The following is an 18792-nucleotide window of genomic DNA, read 5'->3' on the forward strand; positions in this document are numbered from 1 at the left end:
ATGTCTGATCCGAATGTGTGCACATAACTATATCTGGACCATCCACAGGCATGAACTTCTGGGGGTTGCAGACAGCAATTGGAGCTCTGAGATCTTCCTGACCAGGGAGTAACAGAAAACCAGCAGCTCCCCAGCTTGTTCATTAATGCCTGAGAGAGCCCCTGCCTTTCTTGCCTGCAGGCAAGGCACAGGACACTACAGAGAGGCTGGCAGCCCCTCCCCTCCCAGACCTTCCTTTCAAACTGATGCAAAGGCTGAAGAAGAAATGACAGAAATGTTTGCAAACAGAATACCTTCTCTAGCTAGTTGAGACGTGGCAGATCTAGTAAATCTGATAACATAATGTGGCTTCTAGGGCACTGGTTTAATGTTCCTCCTCAGAACCTGGAGCACAGTGAATAGGAATATAGAGAATTTGGATTTGGGTGGAAAGAGACTAGCTGGAAAGCAGGTTGGAAGAGAAGATGTGCTGGGTGTGGTGCCAGATGCTCTTCATCTGAGCCTATCATGCATGTTCAAGGGTGGGAGGGTGGGGATGTGGCTTTCCGAGTCCTGGAAGAGGCAGAGAAACAGTTTGTTCTCATGGTTTTTGTGGGCCCGTTCTCAGTAGGTGCTGGCTGACTAACAGTTGCCTGGATGAGATGATTTAGGTGGTCCAGGTGGCCACCTCGATGATCTAGGTGGGCAAGTATAAGTTTGAGAATCTATCTTGAAAAAAGTTCCAGTTGATTCTACATTTGGGAAACGTAGAATCTAAAAGGTGTTTACAAAGATTAGGTTACTACCTACTTTGTAGAGGTTGACACCTCCCTGATTTCTGAGTTGGCTGGAATGTGTAGGGGTAGGGAGAGTGGAAGATAAGAGCTTGTTAAGGGGTTTAGGGTCAAGGGCTTTCAGAAAGTGGCCCTGACAGACTCACATCCGTGTGCAGGCAACTGCAGATAACATTACAGCACTACTGTTGGTGAACTTTGGGAAAAGCACAAACAAATGGGGTATGTGCCCAAAGACTTTAGATTGGCAAACACCCTAGTTTTCACATAGGGTAAGAGGGCAGAGCACAGAGATTACAGAACAGGAGTCTGAACTTGATCCCTGCCAAACACTTGGAGAGATGATTAAGCAGATGAGTTCTGGGCATTCACATTTGAATTCAGTGATCACTGGGAACCCCCAAAGTTTCATTAAGAAAAAAAAATATGAGGACCTCGTCTAATTTACCAGGGTTATACCTTTAGTAAATTCAAGAGGAATTGCAGATGGAGTGAATTTTTATTTTGAAAAAAATATTTTATGGTCTCCTAAGGGAAAGCATTTTTAAGTGGATACTGAGCTTGTCTTCCTACCAAAAGAAAGTAGGTTAGTGACTCTGTCAGCCAGGAAGGAAGTCCCTGGTGTTATTTTAGTCCTTGTCCTATTCAATCTCTTGTTTGTTTGATTGTTTTTTAAATTCATGACTCAGGTGCAAGCATAGGGAAGCTTATCGAGTGTGTAGGTAACATTTGGAGAGCATAACTAACACCACAGAAGATGAATCAAAATTCAGAACTATCCAACAGCTTTGAATGCTAATTTGAAATCTGCAAGACAAAATGTTAGCAGGATAAATCTGGAATCTCATGTTTAGGTTAAAACAAAAATAAAGCAGTGCAAATAGGAGACCTAACTTGCTGTTTATTTGTGTGAAAAAAATGAGTTAGTTGACCACATTCTTAGTATCAGTGATACATAGCTGACAAAAATCCAAGCAATGTTATTGATGCAGTATAATACTGCTAATAACCACCAGTATTGCACACTTACTCTGTTAAACACTTTACATAAATTAACTAGTTTCATCCCCCTAACAGCCCCATGAGGTACATTTTGCATATGAAGAAACAAAGCCTCAGAGAGAACAAGTAACCTGTTCAGAGTCTTGGAATTAGTGATTTGCAAAACAAGGTTTAAAACTCAGATCTGTCTGACTCTGTGGTCTCGATAAGGGTTCAGATCAGAAAAGGTGATATATAAACAGTGTCTTGATAAGGGTTCAGATCAGAAAAGGTGATATATAAACAGTGTCTTCTGTGTGGTAAGAACACATCTAGAGTGATGTTAGTTCTGGGATCCCATTTCGAGAAGGACATTGTCTGCAAAGTAGCTGTCCAGAAGAGAGCAGCTTGCTTGTGGAGCAGTGGCAAGTTCTGATCTGCTACCAAAGAGACTTGGAAATGCCAGTGTTCAGTGCTGCAGACACCCAGGCAGGAACCTGGAAGTCATCATCCAGCATAATGCCATTATGGCAAAAGAAAGATGTTGTTGGCTTCATGAGATTAAATGGCACCATCAAGTGCAATATCAAAGTAGGCCAGATTTATTCATTGTAAGTGCACTGCTTCCTCACTAGAGCTGTCCAGCAAAGAGACAGTCTGCCTTGCAGGGAGGTGTGAGTTCTCTGTTCCTATTCAAGCAGAGACTAGATAGCTGTCAGTAAAGGATGCTAGAGAGATTTCTGCTTTAGACAGGATATTGGACAAAATTACACCCAGAAGCATGTCTAGTTCCAAGATTCCACACCCAGTTTCTGGATTCTGGGTGGTGTCTGTATTTCAGAACTGCAAGGGACACAGCATCCAGCCCAGAAGAAATCACCTCAGGAACCAAAGTGCAGGTCAGGTGTGTCCCTGGAGGAGGGAGACTGGCAATTTCGGCTCCCTCTTCTGGAGGGTAACCAGAGCATTAGTCAATGAGGAGAGTAAACGAAGTCTTATTGGGAGAGGAGGAAAGTCTCCTTGGTACAAAAGGTGGCTGAGTTTACAGCGGGGGCTTATTAAATGTCAAATAAATTTTATGAGCTAGATTCACCCATGTGTCTGCTGCTGGCTGTAAGCCAGAGACTCAAGAAACCGTGTTAACTCTTTTGGTCCTGAGATCATCAGCTCCTGCCCTTTGCTTCCCAACAGCTCCTCAGTGATCCAGAATCATTGGGCCTTGCTGGGAAGGACCAGCCTGTCCCCGTCATTGATACCCACAAAGCAGAGAGATGTTAAGCTTTTTTTCTGAAATAGTTTCTTTTTTTTTTTTTTTTTGAGACGGAGTCTCGCTCTGTCGCCCAGGCTGGAGTGCAGTGGCGGGATCTCAGCTCACTGCAAGCTCCGCCTCCCGGGTTCACGCCATTCTCCTGCCTCAGCCTCCCAAGTAGCTGGGACTACAGGCGCGCGCCACTACGCCCGGCTAATTTTTTGTATTTTTAGTAGAGACGGGGTTTCACCGTTTTAGCCGGGATGGTCTCGATCTCCTGACCTCGTGATCCGCCCGCCTCGGCCTCCCAAAGTGCTGGGATTACAGGCGTGAGCCACCGCGCCCGGCCTGAAATAGTTTCTTTAAGAGGAAGCAGCTATGGTCTACTTTCCTTCTTTGGGAGACAGATGTTCAGTAATAACTGGTTTTTGGGGCAGATCCCAAAAATGTGGTAAAACCCCCAAACACAAAGTGTCAGGAAGGTCCTCCTCCCACCCACTGCTTTTCCAGCCTGCATTGTCCTCCCTGAGGTTCCTGTCCTGGGTTCTTCCTCAAGCACTGGCTGGGCACCCATGACCCCTGCTCTCATGGAAAAAGACAACCACCCAGTGTCCTGGTCTTAGCCCTCAGAGGTCGGTGGGGCAGACTATTTCTAGTGCTCGTCAGCCTTCGCTAGTTGGTTTACTCCAAGAAACTGCCCAGTCTTCAGCCTTCCTGCTACCACCCGTGTGCCTCCCAAACCCACAACTCCAGCTCCACTCTTCTGACTCTGTCTTCAGTCCGAGTTTTCTGACCAGCTTCTAAGCACCTGCATATTTCATTTGTACATCCAACGTCTAAAACCACATGTGCCAGCCCCTCTTACAATAGGATTTCTTTCCAAAAGCCCTTCACCTGGTTAATAGTGCCATGTGATTCTAGAGGTCTTGGCATTGACTTGGATTCATCTTGTCCCTCCCTAATTCCCCACATCTGACTGCTCATCAACTGCAACCACATCTTCCTTTGAAATTTGTCTTGTCTCTTCTGCTGTTCTTGTTGCAGTACTCCGGTTGAAAACTGTTATCTTACACCTGAATTTGTATTACATAACAACCTCATAGCTATTTTTCCAACCTCCAGCCCCTTCCCCACAGCACTGCATGCAAATGCTGCAGCTTGCCAGCAAGATGAGCCCCCCGATGCCCCACTTTCAGTACATCTGTCCCCTGCTGATGGAACCATTGTCAGCTCTGTGTGTCTCATGACATCAATCCTAATGCCTCTGTTTGGTAACCAAGGCCTTCCCATGCTTCTGACTATCACTGATTCCCTCCACATTCAAGCTGGTATCACTCTCCCCACTCATGCACTGCCAGGCCTCAGTTAGCTGTGGCTCACGACACTCCAGGCTCCTCTTTTTCCAGTGCAATACGATGTGCACTTGTCCTTTCAGGCTCAAGCTGAGTTCTGATGTTTTCAGGATTCTGACCCTGAAGACTGGCACCCATAGCCTCTGCCTTTTCTGGTCTCTGCAGCACTTGCAACCCATTTCCAGATGTGGGCTCCTGATCCAAGACTATCCAGCACTGTTCTCCAGTTATTTCATATCTTAATTGCCTAAAGAAACTTGTGAACTTTGTTTTGCCGATAGTTTCCACAGTTCTTAGCACAGTGCTGGTTTGGAGTCCTGATTAGTGTTGAGGAAAAGGGTTGATCAACATACTGAGGCAGAAGATTGGATGAAGTCCCTGTATGTAAAGATCTCCAAACACATAAAACCCCTTGTGCTTAAATATCTGGACCAATTTTAGGGGAGTCACAAAAATGACATCGTCTGCCTTGAATCCAGAATGAAGAACAAAAAGCCACACTTTCTCATTGGTCTGTTCAAACCTGCTGGGACACAAAAATATTAATGACTAAATACAGCCTAATGCACTACCTCTGAAACCATACTGTGGAATTCTAGGCATCCTCCACCAGCTGGGAAGTGCCAGGTTTGTACTGGCACCCCTGGAGCCATGTGGGTATTCGTGATCTCCACTAAGATGTCCACGGTATTGATTTTGTACTTCCTGAATGCACAGGAGGCCTGGATAGAAGCATTCACTCCTCTCCCTCCAGCTTTCAATCCCCAAATATCACCTACTGTTTAAAATGACCCTTTCCAGCCCTCTTCTGCTCTTCCCTGAGACCCTGGCTCTTATAAAGGGTCTCCCCGACTTTTCAGATACACTCTACATGTCTACAACATCCCCAGAGACATGTCCCAGCCTTTTCACTTTTGAGAGCATCCTGATCTACTGATGGAAGGTCTCTGACAATGCTCAGAAGTTTCTTCTGCTTCAAGAACTACTCCATTCCATGCAACAAGGTTCTGGACAGTGGCTAAATCATTTCTCCCCAAACCTAATATATTTAAAGGCTTGGTTCATGTTTAAGATTTTATAATTCTCCTGAGACTATGGTCCTTTAAGGCTGTAGTTAATCTCAACTATAGCATAAGTGAACTTTGAGGTCAAAGAACACACATGACTGCAAAGTAGATCTTTAATCAAAATTAATAAATTAATAGAACATAAAATTAAAGATTTTTCTCTCTTTTGAGGTACTAATAAACAGCAGTTTAAATCCATACATAACATTTTTGTGCCAAAGGTATGTAACCTATGATGACAATAATTGGAAACTATAAAATATAAATATGTTAACAATATTTATATTAGGAATAATGATAATATAAAGCATTGTACGGATTACTATAAAATGCTTTACATTATAGGTATATATTACATCTGATATTATTATTACTGCCACTAATAATATTTCCCCAACACTCACAAATCTGAGAACGTTTTCTGAGCCCTGTCTCCAAATGTTTGGCTGTGCCTGACTCTGTAGCTGACTTGAATTCCTTGTTCACTGTCTGATGATTCATTGCACTAAACACCATTTTCCTGATAATTAAAAACTGCTCACTGGCAAGTGGGAGCAGGAACATGCTGATGTAGGATTTATGCAGAAACACAAAATGAGCCAAAAGACAAATGACCTGTTCTGCCTAGCTAAAGGCTTTTTTTTCCCCTCATCATCTTCTAAGATTTGGAAAGGCTAGCTATACTGCAGGAGGGAGGTCTAGGAAGATGCGTCATTCTGAGATGAGGCGGATACAGGGGAGCCCTTACGTGCTTGGTTGAGAGTGCTCAACCAAGTCACTCTCCTGATTTAGAACACAGACTGCCGCCCCACACAGAGGAGCAACACCAAGGCCACCTTCCCAGCCCACCCTATCAGACCTTAGGGGAAAGTCATTGAGTTTGAGCCATTTGTTAGACCAATGATTCACTTTTTCAGTTTCCCTTCTTCAATGTGACAATGCTTTCCTCAATTTCAGGGGAAACGAGTACTGAGTCTAATTGTTGCATAGATGCAGCCATTAAGATGTTCTAAATTGACGTTGCATCACTACTCCAGGCAGCCTTCTTGGCTTCTGGGGAAAGGTCTCAGTGACACCAATGCCCATGGCCCCAGAACAGCAGCTGTGACATCACATATATGTGTGCACACACACACACATACTTCTTAATTCTACAAGCTAGCAAAGCAGCACACCTCTCTTCGTCAGTAAAGTGCACCCATCTTCACAGTGCAGACTTTGTTCCGTTTATGTGCACTTATTTGCGCATTACTGGCCCAAAAGAATCCTGGCACCATTAAGAGATAAGCCCTTTCCCTTCTGGGAATAGCTCCTTCCTTGAACTGATTGGGGCCAATATCTGTAAAACTCATTAACTCAGAATCCTTTCCCATTCATCCTTATGTATGTCTTTACTTGCAAACCATTCATTACCGCATATTCTAGATTGTTTAATTAATTTCCATGGAAGAGTTCCTGTAGGACAGCTTAGCATACATCGTTCAAAAGCCTTTGATCTAAAATAACAAGGTAGTTATTTTCGAAGTAACTAATATAACCCTAAGCGGCTTACAACCCCCACTGCCCACCCTCCGCTTGCTTCCTCTTCCTACCTCCCCAAACACTTCCTAGAACAATTTACTGATGATATAACAAGTCTATCAGTCAGTGAGTCATCACTGTACATCAGGCACTGTGCTAGGTATGTCGTCAGCAATATGTTCTTTAATCTCACAGCCACTTTGGGAGGGAGATGTTACCGCCCTCATAGGCAGAGGAGAAAACCATGCTAAGAGGTGTGTGCCGACTTGTCACATTACACGGGGCTAGTAAAAGGTTTGGGGGCCCTGACCTCACCTGTGGGTCCCAGCATCTGGGCTGTTTACGTCCTCTCACCACAGCACAGAATTTGGGAGAAGTCATAGCTTGTTAACGCTGACCTGCTGTCCCTTTTGCATTCTGAGTGCATCTGTTGCTGCCAGTCGCACATCAGCTGGCTTCCACCTGTGGCATCAGTGTTTCTTTGCCTGACTGCTTTCCCTGGCCCTGGAGCCTCCCCTGCCCACCCGTACAACAGGCCAAGCAGCCCCTGACCAATTGTGTGGAAATATCACAGCTCCCTTGACCCCAGAGTGGGACAACTCTGAAGCATGTGCTAACCTAGACATTGCTTAGATGTGAATCTCAGGGGAATTAGGCCTGCTCAATGACCCACAGTGGTCAGTGGCTTGAGAATGCGCCTCTTATAGGCTGCCTTCCTTTCCCTATCTTACTTCCCTTCTCATCTCAGGTACTTCTTGGGATCACCACCCAGATAAGCCACTTACTTTCAAAAATCTTGCCTCTAGGGCTGCTTCTGGGGGAACCCAAGGTAAGACAGGGTGGCCTGGAGATGCTGACCTGGGTTCTCTATATGCTTCCAATCTGGTTTGACTGTTCTTACTCTTCACTTGTTCTTTATAACAAGTCAAAAAGGACTGGCACCCCCATCTCCATTTTTCTCTTTGTCCACTGTTATTAAAGCAGAAGTCTCTTCCTACACACGCACATCCCTGATATCCATCCTGGGGACTAGAATATTCTACATAAAGGTGAGGATCTCTCAATTTCCTTTGTCCAAATTTCAGTCTATATATTCTCAAGTCAGTGTCCTCCCAAAGCTTTCAAGGAGACTTCTAGAATGGTGTGAACAACCCTAAAACAAGTGACTGGGAATAACTCATCTTTCAGAAAAAAACTGTTCTGGGCAGGGCACCTGGCCCTCCTTATCTTAAAAAATAATCCCCTCAGGCCAGGCGTGGTGACTCACACCTGTAATCCCAGCACTTTGGGAGGCCGGGGAGGGGGGGTGGATCATGAGGTCGGGAGTTCAAGACCAGCCTGGCCAAGATGGTGGAACCCCATTTGTACTGGAAATACAAAAATTAGCTAGGCGTGGTGGTGCATGCCTATAATCCCAGCTACTCAGGAGGCTGCGGCAGAAGAATCGCTTGAACCCAGGAGGTGAAGGTTGCAGTGAGCCGAGATCACACCACACCACTGCACTCCAGCCTGGGCAACAGAGCAAGACTGTCTCAAAAAAAAAAAAAAAAAAAAATTCTCCTCAATGGTTTGCTGTATCTTCTGTCTTCCTTTGGATTACACTCTAGTCTAATTTCCAGTCCTTGCCTGAATTGGTGACCAAGCAACACCAGTTTAGGAGAGCTATAGAGCCATCAGAAGTTTTTTGGATGGAAAATGTCAAAACTAGAGCTGGGGGTCACCAGGGAACAAGCTGTAGTGGCAAGGGGTGGGGAACATGAAGAGGGGGGAGGTGCTAAAATGGAGCTCATGAAACCTGAGGCCTAACCTCAGCCTTGGGCCCTAGTCACTGCACCTGGAGCAGTGTGGCTTTTTTAGGCCTGCCTTCCCCTGCTGACCTGACTGTTTCTTGAATGAGACAGCAGTACCTGGCAGAGAAAGCCCCTACTCTTCCCAAGGCTGTGATATCAGACCTTGTCATTTGACCTTCGAAGCCCCAGCCTTTCCACCACCCACCACCATGTAAACAATTCCTGTACTTTGCTTAATGACGTATCAAACATGTTGAAAAATTACATTGTGAATGAATGCATTGGTTTCTTGGGTTCCATTTCCTTTTTTTTTGTTCCCTCTCCTCTACTTTTTGAATGTATTTTTTCTGCAGTGACAATTCTCTACTTTGTCCCCATGCACACCTATTTATCTTGCCACCGTATATATCAGTGACAAGGTCTATATTCCTTTATGTATTTCTCATTCACCATTTTATTTGTTTTTCATACTTCAGTGTGTCCGAAGGCATGAAGAGTCAATCACCATTTTTCTTTCATACCACCTCATTTTTTCTATGTAGACTTTGCTCTTTTCTCTATTAGTATTTTCTAAGCTTTTCTCTTCACATTTTCTCTTCTGGTGTACCGTCTTGGCACTTCCATCTCCAGATTTTTCTAACAGCAATTTCTCTCTTTGTAAAAAAATCCATCCTCTTCCCTCTTACAGCCCTGCACCACAGCCGTCAGTTATAACCTTAACAGTGGCCTCCACTCAGGAAAGTTGTCAAGTTGATAAATATTGATATCTACCCTACCATTTTACCACCACTTTTCTGCTAATGCATTTGGTTGGCATCAGTCAGCTTCCTTGCCTTCTGTGAGCACCCGGTGTGGGAACTGGTCCCGATCTGTCACTTATAAGTAATCTGTTCCACATTTCACCAAGAGCTCAAAAAAAGAAGAAAATATGGAGGAGAAGTAGAGGACAGAGAATCAGTCTAGAATGACCCAGAAGGAAGGGAGATGAGGAGGCCCAGCAAGAGGAGGAGAGGCAGAGAAAAGTTGCAGCCTGGTGTGTAGGAGAGCTCCTCCCAGGAATGCCCTTAGTGCTGGGGACATCAGCAGTGCTGAATGACAACCATGTCCTCTTTGGGATGTTAACCCTGCTTATCTCCTCCAACAAGGCTCCCCAGGGATGAAGATCTACATTGACCCCTTCACTTACGAGGATCCCAACGAAGCTGTCCGGGAGTTTGCCAAGGAGATTGATGTATCTTTTGTGAAAATTGAAGAGGTCATCGGAGCAGGTATGGCTCTTCCCTGTCTTGTTTCTGTTCTCCTGGTGTCCAAACATCTTCTTTCCACCACCCTAGATGGTCTCTTTCAGTATGAAAAGCCCCATTAGGAGGAGAGCTTCTATCTTCTTTCTCCTCAGAAGATGAGTCTGAACTATCTACATGTGTATCTAGGACAGAGAGAAAACATCACTTGGGATCTTTGGGGACCTTGACCATGGTGGCCAAGCTTGTCTGTTGTTGCAGAAAAGTCAGCTGCAGTTTTATAGATTCAGAAATAACTCTGGAAATGGACCACCAAATGCAGATAAGGTACTTAGTTGAGAAGGCTTTGAAAGAAATCTACATTTGTAGTATTCCACTTACTAACAATGATATCTCAATGGGTTAAAGTCAAGATATCTTGCCATACTGTAAGTTCTCCATTTCCTATGTACATGAATTTGAAGACAGACCATGATGAATAGAAGAGAGACCACTGTTTCCAGAAGAAAGTCAACCTATCACCTTCTTTTTTTTGTTTGTTTTCTTTGTTTGTTTGTTTTACAAAAAATCTATGGTACAGCTGGTAACAACACAAGACGAATTTCACTCTCAAGAAATGTGTGTGCCCTCATCCATCTTCCTGCACTGGAATAGAAACCCAGCCCAGTGTAAAACTCACTGCCTGAGATGCTCTCAGGAAATCATACCTAAGACTGATCTAGAATTTTCATCTTCCTTTAATGGGTTAGTAGCTGAGTCAATTTGGCAATGGACCTAGACTTATTAATGTAAATGAGATAAAACATCTCAAAAATCACTAAAAGAAATCTCATTCCTGCGTCTTATGAACCTTTTTAAAAGATGTGTTAAATTTGTTTTATTTTCTTCTGCAACATTCTTCGTCTTTTCTTCCTCTTCAATTCTTGTTAGCCATTGTCCAAGCTCTCTTCACTAATATGCTGTCATCTTTTTTAGGTTCCTAGATCTAGAAGTGCTTTATTCATATCATTATTGGGAAAGCCATGGAATTGCCTCTCTCAATAATATTTTAACTCAATAAAATATGTTTAGTCAAAGTCTTACAGCTACTTCATATATTATCTTTAGGGGGAATGTCACCATCTTTCTGTTCACTGCTCTCTTAATGCACTCAGGGGTCAAAAAGCCATCTGTGAAATTGGAAGTCACATTTGAGAGTCTGTCCCATTAGGCCGCCATCTTCCTGCTCTGGTTTCCCTCTTGAATAGCTTCGTCCTCACACTTCTTTCAGCATAAGTGTGGTGGGTGCTGGGAAATGACACACCACCTGCTCCCGCCAACCCCTCAGGAGTTTCAGCTGGGTCACCAGACTCAGATCCACTTGAGTTTATGCATATTTCCCATTGACTTTTACATTAAGAATGTTGCTGAACCACGACTTTCACTTCTGTGCAGATAATTTTCTCTTCCCCTTTAGATGCTGACATATTTAAGGATCATGCCTTGGAAGGCTGGGTACCAGATAAATTGGATAACTCTTAAGGGCTCAGATTTCTCCAGTAAACATCAAAGAGTGTTGGGGAGGCGGGCTTTCAGTCCTGTACTCTGTTTGCTCGTGTTATTAATTGTTGTTATGGCTTGTGGTAATGGTGCTAGTGACTTTAATGTTGTTATTTATGTCATGTGCTTAGAGCGATGTGTTCTGGACTGTATTTCATCCCAGAGAGCACACATCAGCCCCACCCCCACCTGCTTTTGTCAGAGGAGGAGTAAAGAGCTTTCTCACTTTATGACCCTACTGGATAGTTACAATTTGGGGTGAGTTCACCAGCTGCTGGATGCCTGTAAAAGGACAATTGATAGTTCTGCCCCATCCTTCACCTCCATTTGTGTGTAGCATTTGCCAGTGCTGCCATGTTGTGCATTCTGCTCAGAGAAGGTTCAGTCTTCTCCATGACTCATGTGATATTGGGGAGAAATGATGCATTTAGTAGTTTCTATGATGCCCAGTAGCATGACATAAAGACCTCTGCCCAGTTACTCTGCCCAGTTACCATTCTGTAGCAGAGACCCATCTCCTTGTAATTCAGAATATCCCAGAGCGAATCCTTGTGGATGTTAACTTACTATGCATAACTTCATGCAATTTTAACAGAAGACACTCCTGCAGGGAACCAATTTTTCTCCAGGTCCTTTTCTCCTCTACCATCACTCTCATTTCCCTCATACCCTGCCCCACTGAGGCTGACTCTTCAGTGCTAAAAGAGCTGGTGTGAAGGTCAAATTGTTTTAAAAGTAAGGAATTTGTTAAGGTAAGATTTATGCCATGTAACTGGCAATGTTTCTCTTAGCCACTTGAAATACTTGAAGCAGGGGGAAAACTTGGGTTGCAACATGGCAACAAAACATGAAAAGAAGAGTCGGAAGTCCTTTATTCTTCCTTTATTTTTTTCTCTCTCCCTCCCTACTTCCTCTCTCCCTCCTCTTCTTCCCTCAGGCTTTTACTGAATACTTCTTATATGCTGGATGTGGAGTTCCAGAGGCGAATAAACAGACTCAGAGGTCTGACAGATTTAGTGGGAAAAACTCAGGCCAGTAACAGTTAATTATTCCACACCATCCACACAGGCATGTATTATGCAAAGAGCAGCATCCAGCTTGCTGTTCTTGGAGGGGCTGAGCATATCAGGAAGGCTCTGCAAAGAATGACCTTTGGCCTGAGCCTTCAAGGATAAACACTAGTAGAAAAAGTAAGTTTTTATGAGGCGTATGAGAGAATGAGATAGTGACAGAAGAGGAAAACTAAATGATTTAAGAAGGATAATGAACATGACCTTCCAGCAGTGGACATGCTATGCTGGACAGCCTGCAGTAGCTTGCAAGAGCCAATTATGCACATCTGTTTCTAGCCCCATGTTTAGTGACACCATGTTGGTAGCTTGACATCAGCCATAGTAGAAGTATTTACATCATGGGAATGGGCAAATGCTACAAATCCTGAGCCTGCCCTCTGTTTGTTCTTTCGTTTCTTTTCTCTTTTCTTTTCTTTTGCTTTCTTTTCTTTTCTTTTCTTTTCTTTTCTTTTCTTTTCTTTTCTTTCTTTCTTTCTTTCTTTCTTTCTTTCTTTCTTTCTTTCTTTCTTTCTCTTTCTCTCTCTCTCTTCCTTTCTTTCTTCTTGACATCAATCATAGTGGGAGTATTTACACTATGGGAACTGGAAAATGCTACAAATCATGAGCCCCTTCTTTCCTTCCTCCCTTCCTTCCTCCCTCCCTCCCTTCCTCCCTCCCTCCCTTCCTCCCTCCCTCCCTTTCTTCCTTCCTTCCTTCCTTCCTTCCTTCCTTCCTTCCTTCCTTCCTGGAGAGCTGGTAGTTGAACACTTATAAGCACACCCCCACCCTCCAGACTATGTAAAGTTATTTCAAAGAGGTTGCAGAAGAACTACCCTGCACCAGCTAAATATAGAGCCAGAGGAGAAGGCTATGTTTGTTGCAGGAGGGATTAAGTTTACAGTTCAGAAAGATCTTTATTCATTAAACATTGTTTCTGTGCATGTGACTGGGGGTGATGCTGGAAAAATATACTCAATGCCTAACAAGTCCTGCCATGCAGGGGTTATTGTCTAAAGCACACACATTCAATGCCACTCAGTGAGAGGAAGGCAGTGATTGAGAGCTCAGATGAGGGCCCGGAGAATGTGTAGCCCTGGAGATGGGAGAGAAGGCTTGATGGCAGGAGAGGACTCAGGGAAGAGGGAACAAAGTGGCCTCTGAGGTTGTGAAGGCTTTGGATGGACTGACATTGTGTGTCACATCCTGAGAACAAGGGGAAAGAAAGTTGCTGGAGAGGGATTGCCTGTGGGTAAGTACTGAACACTAAATCTGGAGAATCAGGCCAAGATCTAGAGATCCAGAGGCTGCTATATGAATTTTATCCCATAGAAAATAGGTTTCATAGCAGGGTGGGTGAAAGGACCAAGGTTCTAGCAAGCTGAATCCTATAAATGCTGTGCTTGGATTGGACTGGAAGAGGGGGATGGGAAACAATCGCTAAAACCTTGGAGGTGGGAAGACAAGTTATGAGGTTTTGTTTAGATGTTACAGAGAGGCTTTGAGATGGTTGATGCTAGGATCAAGGCTGCATTTAAGTGACTAAGCTTATCCAAACTGGGGTATACCCAAATGAATGTGATGAATGGAGTGACTAGTGAGCTTGGTGCCTGGAGGTGATGGGGAGTCATAGCATGGAGGCTGTGATCAGAAATGAGGGGCATCAGGTTAAGGGAGAGTAAGGCTGCCTGGCACCCAGGTTGTGGGGAGTGGCAGTTGTGCATGTGAGTGAAGACCCACGGAGGGAAAGTTCAGAAATTGTGAGGCTGAAAAGTTGCATCAGCTGCCAAAGTTTCTCCTAAAGTTGTTGCAAATGTTGATCAAAGAAATAAAAATATAATAATTGTGAGCCAGGTGTGATGCCACCCAAGAAGACAATAATAAATCATTAATTATTAAGTAATTATTTGTTTAATGTTCGTCTTTCCTCACAAGGCTCAAAGTTCTATGGGAGCAAGGGAATGTATGTGTTTTGTTGGTCTGGTACCTGGCCTAGTGCATGGCACTTAAATGCTCAATTAAATATTTGTTGTATATGGCGAATGAAAGTAGGTCCTTGGAGGGAGAACATGGCAGTTAAAAATCTGGAGAACTAGGTAGTGTTTGGGAGAATGAAGAGAGACTGGACAGGTGGCATGAGATCATGAGTCATTTGATGCTCTGAAAGTGGCCCAGTAGAGTGAAGGAAAGCTGACTCTTCCTCTTCTCACTGTAGATAATGAGAGTAATTGAAGTATCTTCACAGAGGGCAGCAGGTTACCTTGGTATCTTCAGAGAGTACCAGTTTATTGTTACCATGAGTCTGACTAATAGGCATCATGTCATAGGTCAACTCCAATGCATTGGTTAATTCTGGTCAGTTTGATCAGTAGACTTGCCCAGAACATGAATCAGGGCTCTACAGCTTGAATGGCACTCCTGGGTGCAGTGTGAAACCTGTATAACTGTATGCAACAGCCTAAGCATGACTGTCAGTGTATGACTACATAGGTAAAGGTGTCACTAGAAGTTGTTGGCAGAAGAAGACATGCCATTTGTATTTTCATGAATAAATATGTCTCCTCTGACTCTAGCAGCTAGTGATTCAACATTTCCAGGAATGGATGATCATCTGGAAGAAGGAAGCTTGCAGTGAAAGGGCTGTGTGAGAATAGTTGGGATGAGGGAATGTGTGATATGTGTGGATGGGGATGGAGTCATCTGTGAGGCCAACAAAGGCCCGGGTTTCCTTGGGGATGATTTGGCAGAAAGGTCACTTGCAAGTTTGACAGTCCTGGGGTCATTCAGAGTGCAGATGGACAGCATGAGGGTAGCTCCACATTGAATAGAAGTTACGGCAAGAAGCATTTCTAGGAGAAGAAATCATAGACATGTCTCCAGGAACATAGTCAAAGTAGCTAGCATCTCTTGAACACTCACCGTGTGTCTGACAATACTCTACATCTTTCACAAGCATCGTCTTATTTAAGTCTCTTATTGCTCTGTGAGTTAGAGCATATATATCTGTATGCATGTATATTTTCTTGTAACTGGTAAGGAAATCAACATTCAGAGGATAGCTTGCCGAAGGCTGTGCTGCCAGTTAAGTTTATGATAGAGCTAGAATTTAAACCCAGCTAGAGCTGATCCAGATCTGGAGAATGTAACCCTCACATGAATGTAACCCTAGGGCTGTTGCGTATAGTTACAGAGTGGCCAGCTGCCACTCTTGTTGCTATGGAAAAGAGCAGCTCAGTATACAGAGGCATTGCTTCCGATGGCATTTTGGAATACCCATTGCTTCTCTCTAGCAGTTTTGAATACTCAAGCCTCGTTGTTGGGAATTATGATACCATCCTAGAATTCATTATTACTCTATTGTGATGCTACAAAGACTGTCCCACATGCCCTGGAGAGAGCATGGTCCTCATAGAATACCCTGGTCCTGTCTTCTGGTTTTCTTCTTCTAAGTGTGATCAGTTATCAGCGTTAAGAAGGACAACAAGGACTGAGATATTTAGCATCTTTAATTATAAGTGCTTGCTTATGAAAATAAGCTAATTACATATAAAATGTAGATGTATGTATGTGTGTGAAGATATATACACTCATATGTGATATATAGGTATGCAGTTGTTTAACAACTATAAAAAGCTACAAGAAAAGAGAAAACCATTTTCCCTCACTCTCTGGATATTAGGTATTGTGAATACCGTGGCTGTCAAGCAGGTTCCATCTCATGTGCCAACTCAGTGGCCTGGTAATGAGTATCTGAGGAACTCTGATGAAAGGGTGAAGATGGTTGTGATCAACTAATAATGTCTATCCTCTGTGCAGGGTCAGGAAGTGGTGGAGTGTGTACCATGGTTCTGCTCTCCCTGGTTTAGCCGTAACTCATTTATCTTGCACAAGCTAGTGTGTTAAAACTTGCTTGAAATCATGCTTTAAAACCTAGTTTAAATGTATTCTTTAAAAATTCCATTTCTGGTGTAAGCTTGAATTAGTAACTAGAAGCTCTGCTTTCCTTTTTTTCCCCCCAAGGCAGTTTTTGACTTCAAAATGCTGCTTTTTTAAAAAAAGTGCAATTGTGTGTAGATTTGAGCTGTGCATAACCAGAAGCTACTGCTTGAAATACCTGCTGGCAGGTGAATGTTTCGTTTTCAAAAATTGAGAATTCTTTTCTTCTGATTTTACATACAATAGTTGAGGCATTTAATGCTGCTGAAGCACTTTTTCTCTCTTCCTCATTTTGTCAAGGAAGGTAGGAAAGAGGAATTGGCAAGGAGCTGAAACTTGCAGGGAATAATTTCAGCAGCTATCTGGGATGAAATGCATAGGAATTGGTTAAATTACCCTCAGCTGACAGCCTTGAGGGCCAGGTTCTCAAATAGATGAAGCAGGCATTAGAATCACCTGGAGGCTGCTAAAACCCAGGTCACAGGCCCCACCTACTGAGCTTCTGATGCTGTGGGTCTAGGTGGGTTTTGGGAAAGTGCATTTTCTAACAAGTTCCTAGGTGATACTGATGCTACTGGTCAAGAACCACAGTTCGAGAACCACTGCTGAGCACATTGGCCACTAGACTGACCTACACCTGGATCTGGGTCCTAACCAAATAGATGTCTGGCTATAGGAGAGGACCCAATGTCAGACACAAAGATGTGTGCCAATCAAAGTCCAGTGGGACCAAAATTAGGCTGGCCACATTTACTGTCAGTAAAGAATCTGTGTGAAAAGAATCAACCACAACCACTCCCCAGCACAGTCGTTTCCTTTAAGCGTCTGTCTTAAATATAACGTTAATTCTTGAATTGCTGGAAATATTTTCTAGGTATTATGAATTTTTATTAAAAATGAAAACGTTATGGCCATGATTTGGAGCTCAAGTAAAACGAAGCTCTTTAGAGTTCAGATGATGGCGAATCGAAGTACCACAGACATCAAGTCCTGGCCCTAATTACAGGAAAATTATCAAAATGCAAAAATAGTTTCTTGTAGATACTATATTAAACTGAAGTCAAAGATCACAGGCGACAGCAATTTCTTAGATTGTAAGTGACACAGGGTCTTGATTTCCTGTTTGTTATTAATAATAGCAATACGCCCATCGACTCCTGCCTCTCTATAAGGCTGTAGGTTGTGGTGTGCTCAAGGGCCAGAAACCCAGACTTTAGCATCCTAGGCTTACCTGAAGACACCCTCCATGCTCAGGCACCTGGCAGGGAAACTTCACCATGTCCCCTGGCAAAAAGCTCTGATGTGTCTTAGATCAGTCACCATAAGTCTCAAAAGGCTGCAGAAACCTACTTTTCCTCTCTTTTCTCTTCCAGTGAGACTCCCCTACTCTGCACTCCCCCTCCCAACTACCTACTTCTGTTTTGTCTTTTTAAAACAGGCCTGGCATGGTGGCTCATGCCTGTAATCTCAGCACTTTGGGATTCTGAGGCAGGCAGATCACCTGAGGTCAGGAGTTCGAGACCAGCCTGGCCAACATGGAGAAACCCTGTCTCTACTAAAAATAAAAAAATTAGATAAAAGTGGTGGCACAAGCCTGTAATCCCAGCTACTTGGGAGGCTGAGGCAGGAGAATCTCTTGAACGTGGGAAGTGGAGGTAGCAGTGAACCGAGATCACATCACTGTACTACAGCCTGGGCAACAGAGCGAGACTGTCTAAAAAAATAAATAAATAAAGGCCAGGAGTGATGGTTCACACCTGTAATCCCAGCATTTTGGGAGCCCAAGGTGGGCAGATCACGAGGTCAGGAGTTCAAGACCAGCCTGGCCAACATAATGAACCACTGTCTCTACTAAAAATACAAAAATTAGCCGGGCGTTGTGGTGGGCGCCAGTAATCCCAGCTACTTGGGAGGCTGAGGCAGGAGAATTGCTTGAACCCGAAAGGCCGAGATTGCAGTGAGTCGAGATCACGCCACTGCAATCCAGCCTGGGCGACATAGCAAGACTCTGTCTCAAAAAAAAATAGAATAATAAATAAATAACCACCCACAAGTGTTTCGAACAGTTTGTAGTTTACAAAGCACTTTCTCCTAGACTTCTCTCAACACACTGTTGGTAAGGCAAGACAATTGGTCACTTCTTTTTATTATATAACAAGGAGAAAGCTAAGTTCTGGAGAAATGAAGGGCCCGCCAACATCCAATGTCTCAGGTGTTGTTTGCGTGTAGACATGGAGCTTCTTCCTCCACTCACTACCAATTTTCCTCCCAACTGTACTCAGGGGCCTACTTAA

At 43.7% G+C, this 18792-nt stretch overlaps 1 protein-coding gene across 1 annotated transcript in view; it reads left to right on the forward strand.

Moving 5' to 3' along the window:
• Window positions 1-18792, forward strand: part of EPHB1 (EPH receptor B1) — a 465208-nt gene that overhangs the window by 374722 nt on the left and 71694 nt on the right. The window contains exon 10 of the mRNA NM_004441.5: window positions 9879-10001. Coding sequence (NP_004432.1) covers window positions 9879-10001 — 123 coding nt within the window. The remainder of the gene's footprint in view (window positions 1-9878; window positions 10002-18792) is intronic.

The sequence above is a fragment of the Homo sapiens genome, chromosome 3, assembly GCF_000001405.40.
Source record: "Homo sapiens chromosome 3, GRCh38.p14 Primary Assembly".
NCBI lineage: Eukaryota > Metazoa > Chordata > Mammalia > Primates > Hominidae > Homo > Homo sapiens.